We start from the raw sequence: 16,112 nt of genomic DNA on the forward strand, positions 1-16,112 counted from the left end.
ATGAATAAGAGAGTTTCTCAGCCTTGTGGGGATTGGGGAGATAGGAACTAACTAAATATTTTCAAAATAAAAACAGGATTTCAGGTTTGATAGGCTTGATAATAAGCATGCAGCATAAAGTAAAAAGGAGTGATGAGGTCAAATGGGGCCTATTTTATATAATATGGTCAGGGAAACCATTTGAAAGAGGTGATATTTGAACAGAGACTTGAATGCTGTGGCAGAGCAGAAGTTTGTGAAGAGCTGGGGAATGAGATTTTTTAAAATTATCCTGCTGTTGGACAGAAAGTACAGCAAGAGATGATGTGGCTTGGATGAGTGTGGTGCCAGTGGAGATGAGAAGGGCTTGGATTTGAATTCTGTCTTGAAGGTAGCCTTGGAGGTAGATTGTGCAAATGAAAAGAAGAGAGCAATCGGGTAACTGCTTGTTTCATTTTGTTTTGGTTTGGTTGGGTCTGGGTTGAGTACTGGGCATATGTTGGTACCATTTATCTGAGATGAGAAAGAACAGAAGAGGAGTTTTTCTGTTTGTTTTGTTTGGGGTGGGATGGGTGTGGGAATGAGAAGTCAAGAAGAATTTGTTGGTTTGTATACTTGATTTGAGGCATTTACTAGATACCTGAGTTGATATGTTATATGTATGAGGCTGGAGTTTGGCATATAAATTTGGGAATCATGTGCTGTAGATGGTGTGTAAATCCATGGGACTGCAGAAGATCACCCAGAGAATGTGGGAAGGCAGAGAAGAGAGAACCAAGGACTAAGAATGTGCTCAGGAGGTTGAGGAGCACTGATCAGTAGAGGTGGAGGAAGTCGGGGGAAGTGTTTTAGTGAAGCATGTTTCCAGAAGGAGGAGTGATCAGCTGTGTAAGTGTTGCTGAGAAATTGAGTTAGATGAAGACTGAAGATTGACTTACTGGATTTGTCAATAGGGAACTGGTGGTTGTTCTGATGAGCAGTTTCAGTGGAGAGGTGGACACACAAGACTGATTTGAGTGGGTTTTAAACAGAATGAGAGCCAAGGAAGTGAGATAAAGTACTTATTGCATTTTAGGGGAGGTTTGCTATAAAGGGAAGCAGAAATGGAGCTAGAGCTTGGCAGGGGTTGGGAAGATGTAGAATCAAGGGAGAGTTTTTATTTTGTATTTTTAATACAAAATACATGCGTATATTTATGCTATTGAGTCTGATCCATTATAGAGGAAAAAAGCTTTGTAGAAGGGAAAAGGATAATTTACAGGACCAAAGTATGACAGAAAGGCTAGGATCTAGCACACAAGCAGAAGCATCAGGCTTACTGGGGAGTGAGGACAGCTGATCTATTGTAACAGGTGGGAAAACTAATATGTTGATACAGAACAGGTAGTTTGATAGATATGATGGTGTAATGAAACAGCGGTTCCTTCTTCTTGTTTCTGTTTTCTCAGTGAAGTCAGAAGGCAGGTAATTTGCTGAGACCCTTAATGGGGAAGGCCTTATTAGAGCAATATAAAATATTTTATTTTAAAAATACTACTTTATAAATGTATTCTTCACTTAGCTGTTGCTTTTTGGTTGTTATTGTGGTTAGCAATATATGTCTGAATATGTTTTCTTTAAACAGGTAGAGTTGAGTTTCCCTGGGCCACATAGGGCATAAGTCAGGAGCCCTCACCACCTTTTTTGTATATGGGGAATTTGAAATCTAGAAACCTTGTGTTTTTTTGCCTTCTCCCTCTTCTGGTTCTCTAATTTTTCATCAGGCACAGTAGAGAAGGAGAAAGGATGGTTTCATTTAGTTCAGTGTGCTCATTCAGCTGTTCTGCAGCCTCCAGGTCTTGAGAGTTGTTGAGCATAATCCCTTGCACAGTGAACTGTCCCAGGCTTGTGAAATCCTAGTGGCCACTCTAACACAGATGACTGAGTTGAGATGTTCTTTTTGTTCAGGTTTTAAAGTGAAGTGCCACCCTTTAGCAGGTAGAGATTATATACATCATTCTGTTTTCTTTGAGGACTCCAAGTGCCCCTCTTAGCTGTAAGTAGTAGAGACCAACGTTAATTCATCTCTCAATCTTGTATTCCATTTTCCAGTTCATTTCCCTGAACCATATTTTCCTCATTTGTGGAGTAATACTTCCCACTCATGGGTTCTTCATCAGGCAGCTTATGATGCATGTGAAAATTGTTCTGGAAAAGCCTAAACAGTACAAAAAGAGAAATCCTATTGTCATGGTGATAATTTTGTTATTCTCTAGAAGACATTGACAGTTCCCTAGGACCACCCCTTAAACTCTTGTTTTTCATCTTACAGAGGCATCCATTTCTTGTTTTATTTCTTCTGTTAGGGGCTTAGTGTAGTGACTTGAGTACTGTTTAGGGTTTTGATATATGGAGTTCAAATTTGCATACTACAAACTGGGGGTGAAAGAAAAGAAGCTGAATATATTGCCTGTTTTCAAATAGTTTATTATTCTTCTAACTTTTTAAAACCACAAGCTTCCCTCTTATCACATTTTTACAAATGGATATATGAAAGCTGGTAGAAAAAGCTTGAATTTAAGATGATAAAATGAACCTTGTTCTTATGTTTTTCTTTGCTAATTTTCAATTCTGCTGGAGATTAGCATCTTCTATTAGCAAGGTGTAAAAATTGAGTGCAGATTGCAGCTTTTGGGAGAGTGTTCAAAAATATTTTTACTTTTTTTATAATTAAAAAAAACTTCTTACTATTTGGAAAAGAAAAAATGTCTAATGACGTCATCTACTACTGTGGTATTTCTTCTTAATCCTACCTCTAGGGGCAAATATTTCCCATCACAATAATAGATTTTTAGTCCTGGAAGAAACCTTAGGGTTCATCTTTTTAAACCATTTTCATGTAACTTGTGAGAAAATGAAGACTCAGAGAAGAAGATTTGTCTTTCTGTCAGTTCATGGCAGAGTCCGGGTTCAAGTTGAGGTCTCTGGACAGTCAGTGTGTAGGGTTTTCCTTCCTGAACCATCCTGCCTTTTAAAGTTTACAGTTGTGTTCTCAGAAAGAGAAGAGTGAAGTTACCCAGCCACAGTAGAGGAGGAGGATGGGCAGATGAGTTCTGTGTACACTTTGTGCATTTAATTTGCCTCAGTCTTCTCAATGGTTTTAACTCATTACCACAAAATATAGAAAACAAACAGGTTCTTTGAGTTGTGCTCTCTTTGAAAGCTCTTTAATAGTAATTCTGAATTATTTGGTCTTTTTAGTGTCATCCTAGTTACTTCTGATAAGGATGGTCAGAGGACCAAATACAGTTTTGTTTCTACTAATACGAGTGTACATAGGAATTTTTCCAGCTAACTGTGACATAGTATTTATATGCCATGGGTTAAAACCACTTTCATGTGGGTTCTGAGATACATAGGAAGGTTGAAAAGACTTTAGAGACAGCTACCATGGTTTTATTTCTCTTCTTCTTTTTGAGGGCTGGGAAATCTCAGGTTATTTAATTTTAGAGTATTTTTAATTAAAATATTTTATGTTTAACCTCTATTGTAAAATACAATAAAAAATTTAAAAACCACACAGAAATGTATAGTTTAGCGAATTAAGTAAGATACCCTGTAGCTCTTACCACTAGCTCAAGAAATGAAACATTGCCAGCCACTCTGGAAAACCCTTTTATGTTCCCCATGAAACTCACAGATCTCTCTCTACCTCAACAAGTAACCACTCTCCTGACTTTTATAATGCCCACTTCTTTATGTTTCCTTATGGCTTTTTCCCCTGCTTGTGCTTAGATAATAAAGTTAAATCTTGCTCATTTTAAAAAGCCTGGTACGTATTTTAAATCTTTCTTAATCTACAGGCTCCCCTCCATTTCTTTCTATTCCTTACAGTTTACCTGTTGAAGAACCTGGGCCTTTTGACCTGTAGCCTTTCCGTAGTCTGGATTTTGGTGATTGCATATTCAAAGGTGACAAGATCATGGTTCTCTGAGGATTGGCTTCCTCATGGGATTGGCTTCCTTATGGCATAGGGAAGTTACTGGTCTTCTTGATGTGGTTTTGGGCCCTGTGGTGGCTTTAAGTCATTTGGTGGCACTGTTCTGCTTTCCTGGTTGCAATGCTAATGGATACAGGCCCATATATAGGCATTTTTTGTTTGTCTACCTTTTTCTTTAAAAAAAAATTTGCACAAATTTGTGGGGTGCATGAGAAATTTAGTTACATGTGTGTAATGCATAGTAAACAAGTCAGAGTGTTTAGGGTGTCCACCACCCACGTACAGCACATGTTTGTTAACTGTAGCCTTCCTACTCTGCTATCAAATATTGAATTTATTCCTTCTGTGTTCTTACCCTTTAAGCCACCTTTCTTCATCATTCCTTCTCCCCAGTCACCCTTCCCAGCCTCTGTTATCTGTCTTTCTTTACTCTCTACTTCTTTTTTGTAGCCCAGGCTAGAGTGCAGTGGTGTGATCTCGGCTCACGGCAACCTTTACCTCCTGGGCTCAAGCAATTCTCCTGCCTCAGCCTCCCTATGATTACAGGCATACGCCACCAGGCCTGGCTAATTTTTGTATTTTTAGTAGAGACAGGGTTTCACCATGTTGGCCAGGCTGGTCTCAAACTCCTGACCTCAAGTGATCTGCCCACCTCTGCCTCCCAAAGTGCTAGATTTCAGGCGTGAGCCCTCGCACTGGCCTCTATTCTCTACTTCTGTGTGATCACATTTTTTAACTCCCACATGTAAGTGAGGATATGTGATATTTGTCTTTTTGTGCCTGCCTTATTTCACTTGAGATAATGACCTCCAGTTCCATCCATATTGCTGCAAATGACATTATTTCTTTTTGTTCTTTTTATGTATTTATTTATTTTTATTATACTTTAAGTTCTAGGGTACATGTGCACAACGTGCAGGTTTGTTACATATGTATACGTGTGCCATGTTGGTATGCTGCACCCGTTAACTGGTCATTTACATTAGGTATATCTCCTAGTGCTATCCCACCCCCCTCCCCCTACCCCACAACAGGCCCCGGTGTGTGGTGTTCCCCACCCTGTGTCCAAGTGTTCTCATTGTTAAATTCCCACCTATAAGTGAGAACATGTGGTGTTTGGTTTTCTGTCCTTGAGATAGTTTGCTAAGAATGATGGTTTGCAGCTTCATCCATGTCCCTACAAAGGACATGAACTCATCCTTTTTTATGGCTGCATAGTATTCCATGGCTTTTATGTGCCACATTTTTTAAATCCCGTCTATCATTGATGGACATTTGGGTTGGTTCCAAGGCAAATGACATTATTTCATTCTTTTTATGGCCAAATAGTATTCCGTTAGGTATATATACCACATTTTCTTTATCCATTGATGGACACTTAGGTTGATTCTATGTCTTTGCTATTGTAATTAGTGCTACAATAAATATGTAAGTGCAGGTAGCCCTTTAATATGTTGATTTCTTTTCCTTTGGGTAGATACCCAGTAGTGGGATTGCTGGACAAATGGTAATCTTATTTTTAGTTTTTTGAGCAATCTCCATACTATTTTCCATAGTGTCTGTACTAGTTTACATTCCCACCAACAGTGCGTAAGCATTCCTTCTTCTCTGCACCCTGACCAACTTCTGTTTTTTTTTTTTTTTTTTTTTTTTTGAGACAGAGTCTTACTCTGTCACCCAGGCTAGAGTGCAATGGCATGGTATCAGCTCACTGCAACCTCCGCCTCCTGGGTTCAAACAATTCTCCTGCCTCAGCCTCCCGAGTAGCTGGGACTACAGGCTTGTGCCACCACACCTGGCTAATTTTTGCATTTTTAGTAGAGATGGGATTTCACTATTTTGGCCAGACTGGTCTCAAACTCCTGACCTCATGATCCTCCCCCCTTGGCCTCCCAAAATGCTGGGATTACAGGCGTGAGCCACCGTGCCTGGCCCGATTTTGTTATTTTATGTAGAACTACTTTTATATTGAGAGCCATACTTGTGGCCTCAACTTACTTGCAGGTTACTCTGGAAGCCAACTCCTGTGAAGGCAGGGGACTCAAATTATCATTTTTCCATCTTTAATTATGAAGGTCAGCTTTCATTTGCTGTGAAAACAACACGGATAATTTGGGACCATAATACGTTCTGAAATAGTTCAAGACAAGCATGTTAAAAATGAGGGTTTTTTTTTTTCCCCACTGAACCTTCCCTCAAGATTTTATTGTCTTCATAATAAAAGATGATGCTTAGAACTAGTTAATTTGGCTCTTTCTCTTCTTTTCTCCTCCCGGTTCAAAATGCTTGCTTCTCTTAATAGGCAGCATTCTCTTAGATTTGCAACTGGGCTCAAAGCACTGAAGCCTCATCACAGTCTTCTTTTTGGCAGTAGCCTTTTTACAGAATTCCAGAAAATGGGTTTAGTATGCCCACCATAGCCACTCTGCTTCCTGTCATAATGCTGCTTACCCTGGGCACACATAGAATCCTTGTAGTAGAGGCAGGAGGCAGAGAAATTGTAGACAGACAGGGGCCGGACCCTGGTGAAACCTCACCATCAAAAACAAAACCAAAAAAACAGCCTGAAACCCGCAGCCCAAAGTGAGAACTTCTGTTCCTGTTTGCCCACTCTCTTCTGGTTGGTTCTTTCTGATTAATGCCTTTTTACCAATTGAATGTTGCCTTTTCCAAAACTACCTATGGGCTGCCCTGCCCCCATCCTGTGCCTATAAAGACCCCAGACTCAGTTGGGAGAGAGAGGAGAGAGAGACAGACAGCCAGACAGCCAGCCTGACATCGGGGTAGAGACAACCTGACTTTGGGGAAGATGACCTGCGCTTCCCATCCCCTCTCCACCTCCACTTTCTGCTGAGAGCTGTTTTCATTGCTCAATAAAATTTTCCATCTTCACCATCCTTCAGCTATCCATGTGACCTCATTCTTCTTGGATGCTGGACAAGAGCTTGGGACCCATCAACTGCAGGTACCCAGAAAGGCTGCCACACAAGCCCTTTGCCCTTTCCAGTGGAGGGCAGCTGCCCCATGTGATGAGGCAAGGGGCCAACTGAGCTGTTAACCCACCACTGTCCGTGGACAGTGGAACTAAAGGAGCACTGTAACACCCACTCTGGGGCTTCAGGGTCGTGGGCACCCTCACCTGGATGCCACCTCAAGGGCCAGCTGAGCTGCTAACACACGCTGTCTGCGGATGGCAGAACTAAAGAAGCACTGTATCACCCCCTCTGGGGCTTTGGGGTCATGGGCATCCTCACCTGGGTGCAGCTGTGTTCCCCTTGAGGCGACATGCCTGGTCTGGCTGTGGGCCCTGCGCGGAGCTTGCTCCTGTGTCGGCATCTGGAGCAACTGGCCAGGTCCTGCACTTGCTCGCTCATGTGTTCCCTCCACAAGGGGTTGAGTGTGGCAGGCCGAGTAGAGGGGGCACCCCTGCTGGGAGTCCGGCAAAGGGGCCGACAAAAATCCTGCATTACTTGCTCTTCTTGCACTGTGTCATTTTGTAGGGTTGGTGCTTGCCACACGCGTTACAGAAAGTTTGATGGTTTTTAGGAATGTTCACCATGTTTATAGGAGTGCTATTGGAACAGAAAGAAAAATGAGTTTTTTTAAGTGTCCTAAAATACTGTTAGTCTCTGCCTCTTGCCCCTTTAGTGGAACTTTTTGATTATGCAGAATTACAACTTGCTGAAGCCCAGTTGAGGTAGCTTTGAAGGAAGTTCATTTCTTCTTTTGCCTCTGTTCAGAGGTTGGGGAATTTTGTGACTATGTAAATTTGCTAAGGAGACACCATTCCAGATTCTTATCTTTCCCAGGACTCAAGTGGCTCTTGCTTTGCCACTGTTTTTGCTGTTGTTTTTGAGACAGGGTCTTACTCTGTCGCTCAGGCTGGAGTGCAGTGGTATGATCTTGACTCAGTGTAACCTCCGCCTACTGGGTTTAAGTGATTTTCCCACCTCAGCCTCCCGAGTAGCTGGGAGTACAAGCATGTGCCACCACACCTGGATACTTTTTTTTTGTATTTTTTGGTAGAGATGGTGTTTCACCATGTTGGCCAGGCTGGTCTCGAACTCCTGACCTCAAGTGATCTGCCCGCCTTGGCCTCCCAAAGTGCTGGGATTACAGGCATGAACCACCACCTCCAGCCACTTTTGTATTATTTTGAATAACAAAGGGCATTTTTGTTACTCCCTGCAAGGGAGTAGCTTTTACATTAATACCTTTTCTTTTTGAAAATGGACTTTGATAAAAGATGTAAAAAGACTTTGTAAAATTTTGTTTGATAACCTTTTATGAGGTTAAAACAAAGTTTAATTCTGATTACATGGCCAATTCTAAATTTGAGACCAGGTACAGTGGCTTATACCTGTAATCCCAGCACTTTGGGAGGCCAAGGAGGACAGATGGCTTGAGTTTAGGAGATCCAGAACAGTGTAGGCAACATGGTGAAACCCGTCTCTACTTAAAAAAGAAAAAAAAAGCTGAGAGTGGAGGTGCGTGCCTGTAGTCCCAGCTACTCAGGAGGCTGAGCCTGGGGGGCGGAGGTTGCAGTGAGCCAGGATCATGACCCTGCATTCCAGCCTGTCTGAAACAGTGAGACCCTGCCTCAAACAAACAAACAAACAAATTCATTTGGCTGTGTCTTCCACCTGAAATCAGATTGGGATCTCATAGTACTACAGCTCTCATAGCATTCAGGTAGATGGAGCTAGAAATAAGCCCAAGTATGCATTTTCCTTCAGGACTTTTTAACACTAAGCTAGAAAATATAAGTATCTCATAAACCTTATCCCTTTAATTAAATTTTTAGTAGGAACCAGAATGTAAATTTCTTCCTTCCCTACCCCAGAATGTAGATGCATGTCCTCATTTAATTTTAGTCATTCTTGGCGAATGTGATAATTAGGGTAAAGTGCAATGAGATTTGCAAATTGGATGGTGAATTCACTAAATGTAACAGCTGATCAGGGCTTCTCTTCTCAGTGTCACTTTATTAAGGTCTTCGGATATACTGATATATTCTGGAGTTTCCTCCCCACCCCCGCCTTTTTCTTTTCTCTCTTTCTCCCCTTGTTGAAAGATACTAACTTCTACAGTGTTGGTGTGAGTAGAGTATCAGGATATTGATCTTAGGGGAGGTGAACTAATTATAGATTTGTTTTTTCATTTTATGAGAGGCTATTCTTCATAATAGGAATATAGAATATATGCCATATACTTGAGGTTACTTTTGTTAATCCCTTTAAGAATGGAGCACTTTACCTTGCTTAACAAGAAGGAAATAATTGATTCAGATGCTGCATGCTGTGCAAGGTGAGTTTTGAATGCAGTGAGGCGTATATGCAGTGGTCTGACTTCCGTAAGCCTCACTCATCTGACTTTCCTTTGGTTCTTAATGTTACACTGAAGACTAGCTGGGCATGGTGGCTTATGCCTGTAATCCCAGCACTGTGGGAGGCTGAGGCAGGCGGATCACCTGAGGTCAGGAGTTCAAGACCAGCCTGACCAACATGGAGAAACCCTGTCTCTACTAAAAATACAAAATTAGCCGGGCGTGGTGGCACATGCCTGTAATCCCAGCTATGCGGGAGGCTGAGGCAGGAGAATCACTTGAATCTGGGAGACCGAGGTTGCGGTCAGCTGAGATCATGCCATTGTGCTGCAGCCTGGGCAACAAGAGTGAAACTCCGTCTAAAAAAAAAAAAAAAAAAAAAGAAAAAGTTACACTGAGGACTAAACTCTAACCTTTTTTCTCTCTTGCCCAAATTCTTATCTAAGGGATCTAGGGTGTCACACCCTACAAACCATATAAATTTCATCAGGTGGGTTTTATTTAACCCTATATAATATGCCTTACTTTTCAACCTGACTCTGGCATAATATCACATAACAGATAAGAAAAATCAAAATATTTTACCCTAAAATACGTTTTTTTTTCTTCCATATCTTAAAATGGCCCTGCAAAGCCATCTTTTATAGGGGGGAGTATTTGCATCTGAGAGTCTATCACCTTTTAAAGGTTTGGATAGGAGACATTTGCCATTTATTTGTCTCTAAGGGTGGCCACCTATAAGACCTCATCTGCAGAATAACCTTGGTCTCCACAACCCCCCAGACAGTTCTATTGATTCCAGGTCTTAGATAATAACTCTTTTGACCAATTGCCAATCAGAAAATCTTGGAATCCAGCTATGACCTGTGTGACCCTCCCCCCACCTGTTCTCCATATATCCTACTTTTCTGCACCAATCCAGTATATACCTCACATGTACTGACTGATGCCTTTTGTTTCCCTAAAACATATACAATCAAACTGTAACCAAGCGACCTTGGGCAGATGTTCTCAGGACCTCTTGAGACTGTGCCTGGAGCCATGGTCACTCATATTGAGCGCATTATAAACTTCTTTAAATATTTTAGAGTTTTACTCTTTTTGTTGACAACACAAAAATACCATTGAACCTTAAATTTCATGTTACAGGGAAGTGACATCCCAAAGACTCCCAGGATGGCTAAACAGTAGAAAGGAGAACTTTTATTGGTGATACTGGTTTGTAAGCTGGGAAGAGGAAGTCTCCAGCATAGACTGAAGGTGCTCTCTCTTTGAAGAGGAAAAGGACAGACTGGGTTTTATGCCTCACCAGTTCTGTATTACACAGTGGAGTCATATATATTCAGCAGGTTTGGGGGAAAAGCTACATATTTATGAGGAGAGCTGAGTACAAGCACAATGAGTAAACATTTATGTAACATATACCCCATATTCACTTTGTGGTGGGGTTTTAGCATTAAAATGAGATGGAATTTCACTATCTATATCAAAAGGTGAACAAAAGCACACAAAGACTTTGTGCAGCCCCTATAAACTAGCTGAAACTGGTTTCTGGTCTCCAGTAGCTTATCGGAAAAGAATGTTTATAAGGCCCATCATCTGTCTAATCAAGTGGCCTGGGTTGTAAATCAGTTCTGAAAATTTGCCTGATAGCTCCTATTGTTAAGGAGTTAAACAAGAGGGTGGTTACTCTTATAGCCATAGGAATTTAGAAAAATGCCATGCCAGCCAGGCCCTGAACCCTTGACCCACAGGTAACTGTTTCCTTAACTTTAGGGTCTGTCTTAGTTGATTAAGGGGCATCATTTTGATCTTGCAGGTCACAGGAGGAAAAAAGCTCTTCCACTACCCTCTTAGGCTCAGTAGCTGGGGTCTATGAATCAAAATGATAAAGGACAGATTAACAGGAATAAAAACATACATATAACTACATATGGATATACAGGGTTTAACAAATGAATGTGACTTAAGGACACAGTTAGAATTTGGGGCTTATATCCCATCTTAACAAAGGGAATGAAATACAGAGAAGAGTCTTGTTAGACAAAGAAGAAAAGGTTTGGGGCTTCTTGAGGGGGGTAAGTTGTGGGAAAGGGACTAAAAAGGGTACAGTAAATAAGGGTCATTTGTAAGGTTTTTTAAAATGCAAACTAGAGTCTTTTCAGGTGCCAAGAGTTGTCTTCAGAGTAGTTCTCTTCCTGATACTGGAGAGGGAGACACCTTTACAAATGGAACTTTATGTGCTGTTTTTAGTAAGATGGGGAAGGACAGGGAGATTTTTTTCTGTGTCTGCTTTTTCTTAAATGCTTTCAGCTGAAAATAGTTCTTATGCTATAGTGGCATATTTTTGGATGGTATATTCTTGTCCCCTTCCATGAGGAAATGAGTTTTGAGGTGACTGATAATACTACACCAGACTTTATAAGGGCCGTATTTGGACCTGCAATGAGTTCTGTCCTATTTGAACTCAGAACATTAATTTTCTTTTGCTGTTTTTCACTTAAAAATATTCTAATTTCAAGGCAGTTTTATAGTGTGTGCAATATAGTACTGTAGTACTGCATGTATATATTTTATATGTAGTTGCATGTATTTGGGGTACATGAGAGCTTTTCTGTTCTTTGCTTTTGTTTTCACTGGTGAGTGCCTTCATAAAATGTCTAGTGGCCACTGGTCTGTGAACTTATTTGTGTTTATTAATGTACAAATAATGTCCTAACCTTTTATTTAAGTGTTCATGTGTATTTCTGTATAATTTGTATATTTCAGTGGAGGGTGGTCTTTCCAACTTCATGTGTGTTCTTTGAAGCAAAAATTCCTCTTGGTATCTGACAGGTATCTAAGCTTATATTGTATGCACGATAGGCACAAAATAAATATTCATTAATGAATTTCAAAAATCATATATAAAAGGAAGTTGTTGATTTTCATCGTTTACTCCAGAAATTTTTATGGATTCATTACATAGCAGTTAGAAATGGTGATGGTAGATTGAGTAGATAAGTTAGAAATTGACATATTGAGAAGTAATAGGTGACACCCACAAAAGAAAAAGAAGAGTGAATATGTATGGCTTATTGAGATTATTTATTATGGGGCCACACAGCTTGATGGAGCTTGGTAACCCCTAGCTTAGGGCATTATTATATTGAAGCAAAGGACAGTGATAGATGATTTCCAGTAATGACACTGTCTTTACTTTGATCTTGGACAAGCCATTTAATCTTTCTGGTCCTCAGTTTCCTCTTTCATAAAACGAAATGACAGGGCTAGAAAGCTTTTGATGTCTTTTAAAAATTTGAAATTCTACATGTACTCCGATTATCTGAGGCAGTCACCTTACCAAGTCACTTAGATTCGCTATATTCTCTATAATAAGAAAGGTAAACACGTTGTGGAAACATTTTTATTAGAATGCTTACTCTTTTTTCTTTTCTTTTCTTTCTTTTTTTATTTTTTTTGACCAAAAATGATTTGGGATGTAGTTCAGTTTTTTGACATTAAAAGGGCAAATTTGGATGAATAGGTGAAAGGTATATGAATTAAAGTTTTATAATAATAACATATGGCATTTGTGATTAAACAGGAAGTGTTAAAGTAATGAACTCCCTACATCTGATGAAATGAAGCAGAAGCCACATGATCACTTATCAGGGATATTGTAGAAAATATTGACCAGTTGGGTAAAAATCCATTCAAACAGGCAACCTTCCTATCCAAGAGAAACTCCCCTAATGTTGGGGAACTCTTTGAGGTTACATAAAGCAAGTTAGGCAGGTAGTTAGGGAGGTACTCTTTATGACATCTGTCCCCTTAGATTAGTCTTAATCTTGGGATGATGCCTTCTAAGGAGCTTGTCAGGATGCAGCCTTCCCACAGCTGCTGGGGAACTCTTTCCTCTTGCTCTGTTTTGGTGTCAGGCTTTGAGAGTTTCTTCTTTTTTTTCTTAATGTCTTATCCAACAAAAGTAGTTATTTACAATTCGGAGTATTTTCTTTCACAGGTTTTTCTATGCATGTACCCTCTTTATAAAAATTGGACATAGTTTACATCCTGTTCTATAACTTGCTACTTTCGTGTAACCATATATTGTGGACACATTTCCTTGTCAGCACTTGTAGATCTCTATAATTCTCAGTTTATAAAGTACTTACTGCGTGGCAGCACTTTTAAAGTGCTTTCACATATTAACATTTAACCCTCACGACAACCTCATGAGGTAGGAAATTCTATTACAGGTAAAGACGCTGAAGCAGAGAGAGGTTAAGTAATTCCCCTATGGTTATATAGTTAGTAAATAGCAGAGCCAGTGTTAGAACCCAGGCAGCCTGGCTTAAGTCTGGGTGCTAACTATTTTACTACCCTGCTTCTCAAATGACCGTAAGGTTCCTTTTTGTGCCTATGCCGTGATTCATGTTAGCTACTCCTCGTGGTTGTACTTTTAGTTCTCTCCTGTTTCCTTTTTGCTGCTACAATGTGCCAGGCATACTCTAAGCCTGGTAGCATGCTTGTGGACTAAAATACGCCAAAATCCCCATCTTTATGACATTCATGCTCTGGAGGAAGGAGGTGGTTGGAGACAGACTATTAAAAGGTTAAATAAGAAAATTACATTGGCCTGGCACAGTGGCTCATGCCTGTAATCCCAGCACTTTGGGATGCCGAGATGGACAGATCACTTGAGCTCAGGAGTTTGAGACCAGGCTGGGCAAAACCCTGTGTCTAAAAAACAAAAACAACAAAAATCAAAAAGTATCTGGGGCATGGTGGCGTGTGCCTGTAGTCCTAGCTACTTGGGAGGCTGAGGCAGGAGAATCACTTGAACCTGGGAGGTGGAGGTTTCAGTGAGCTGAGATGGAGCCACACCCTGAAAAAAAAAGAAAGAAAGAGAAAGAAAAGAAAAGAAAGAAAGAAGCCAGACCCGAAAAGAAAGAAAGATAGATAGATGGAGCCCGACCCGAAAAAAAAGGAAGAAAGGAAGAAAGAGAAAGAAAGAAAAGAAAGGAAGAAAGAAAGAGAAAGAAAAGAAAGAAAGGAAAGAAAAGAAAGAAGGAAGGAAGGAAAGAAAAAGAAAAGAAAGAAAGAAAGAAAGAGATTACATGGTAGAGGAACAGGTGAGAAGTACTGTGAAAAAGAAATAGGCCAGGTGTGGTGGCTCATGTCTGTAATCCCAGCACTTTGGGAGGCCGAGGCGGGCAGATCACTTGATGTCAGGGGTTTGAGACCAGCCTGGCCAACATGGTAAAACCCCGTCTCTACTAAAAATACAAAAATTAGCTGGGTGTGGTGGCACGTGCCTGTAATCCCAGCTACTCGGGAGGCTGAGGCAGGGAATTGCTTGAACCCGGGAGGTGGAGGTTGCAGTGAGCTGAGATCACACCACTGCACTCCAGCTGGGGCTAAGAAGCAAGACTCCGTCTCAAAAAAAAAAAAAAAAAAGAGAGAAGGAGAAATAAAGCAGGGAAGCAGCCAGTGGTGTTGCTGTGGAGTATAAGAGTTTTAAGCAGATGAGAGGGCGATGTGAGCAAAGTTGAGGCAGATGAAGGAAAGTGAGCCATGTGGACATCTGGGCCAAGAATGTATCAGTGGAGAAACAGCAAGTGCCATGGCTTAATGTCAAGTGCATGCATGACTTTTTTTCAGGAACACTCAGAAGGCCTCTGTGGCTGAAACAGAGTGAATGAGGAAAGAGTAGGAGAAGATAAGGGAAGGAACGCAGAAGGGAGGACTGCCCAGGTAGTTAGAGCTTCGTAGGCCATTCTTATGAACTATTAGTCCTTGTGAGATGATGATATATGAAACGATTTTCAGGAGAAGAGTACCATGTTCTGGCTTCTGTTTTAAAATGACCACTGCTGTGTTGAGACCAAAGTCTAAGGGAATGAAGATGGAAGGCAGCAGGGAAAAAGTGTTACTGGCTTAGACCATGGTGGTAGCTGTGGGGATGGTGATAAGTGGCTTAAACCTGGACATATTTCTGAGGTATGTTGAAACATGGTATATTTCTGAGTGGGATTTGCTGATGGATTGAGTGTGAGAGAAGTTAAGAGTAATTCTAAGAGTTATGGGAAGAACTGGAAGGATGGACTTGCTGTTGACTGAGATTAACTTGCACAAATGACTTGATGCTGAATTTTTAAATCAAAGAACAAACTTACGGCCTTTAGTACTTTAGATACAGCTTTTAAGTCACTAGCCTGAGAAGCTAGGTAGTATATATGCTTCATTATCTTGAAGGATTGGAGTTTCAGTTGTAGAGAAGTGGAAACATGTGTCATAGAGACAAGCTGTCTATCAGGTGACATAAATAGGCGTTGACAGTAATTTTCAGGGTATGAAAGGTTCAGTTTGGCAGGTTCAGGAATTTGATTTTTTAGGTTTACCTAGAGTTAAATGGGCCCAGGCACAGAACTCATAAGTAACCAGTCTCATCCATTCAGTTTGTCATGGAGCCCCATCAGACCATAGCCAACAGCAGCCAGCCTCCCAGGATGACAAGATCTCTCCCCTTACCTTGCTGCCAGGACATCTGGTGAAAGATTTCCAGGGAGGATGACCTGTAGCAGCCAGCCTGGTAGGACTCAGAAGCATCATCTTCTCTCTTTTTTTAAACATTATTTTTTAATTAAAAAAATTTTTTTGAGATGGAGTCTTGCTCTGCTCCCCAGGCTGGAGTGTAGTGGCACAGTCGAAGCTCACTGCAGCCTCGACCTTCTGGGCTCAAACTCTCCTTGCACCTCAGCCTCCTGAGTACCTGGGACTACAGGTGTGTACCATCTTGCCTGGCTATGAGAACCATCTCCTTTTCCTTTTCTTTTTTTCTTTTTC

The 16,112-nt window shown here is 40.9% G+C and overlaps 1 protein-coding gene and 1 pseudogene across 12 annotated transcripts in view, besides 2 other annotated features; one reads left to right on the forward strand and one right to left on the reverse strand.

The window, feature by feature from the left end:
* The window catches only part of CDKAL1 (CDKAL1 threonylcarbamoyladenosine tRNA methylthiotransferase), a 697,948-nt gene that overhangs the window by 181,682 nt on the left and 500,154 nt on the right, over positions 1 to 16,112 (forward strand). The gene's annotated exons all lie outside the window — the stretch shown is intronic.
* RPL36AP25 (ribosomal protein L36a pseudogene 25) lies at positions 6,143 to 6,432 on the reverse strand (annotated as a pseudogene).
* Positions 6,396 to 6,465: a silencer, noted in NCBI's record as "silent region_16981". NCBI's record gives its function as "represses an Ori minimal core promoter by ATAC-STARR-seq in GM12878 lymphoblastoid cells {active_cell/tissue: GM12878}" and the evidence as "EXISTENCE:reporter gene assay evidence [ECO:0000049][PMID:35858748]".
* Positions 13,017 to 13,217: a silencer, noted in NCBI's record as "peak5720 fragment used in MPRA reporter construct". NCBI's record gives its function as "represses an SCP1 promoter by STARR-seq MPRAs in K562 erythroleukemia cells {active_cell/tissue: K562}" and the evidence as "EXISTENCE:reporter gene assay evidence [ECO:0000049][PMID:32103011]".

This window comes from Homo sapiens, chromosome 6 (genome assembly GCF_000001405.40).
Source record: "Homo sapiens chromosome 6, GRCh38.p14 Primary Assembly".
Lineage (NCBI taxonomy): Eukaryota > Metazoa > Chordata > Mammalia > Primates > Hominidae > Homo > Homo sapiens.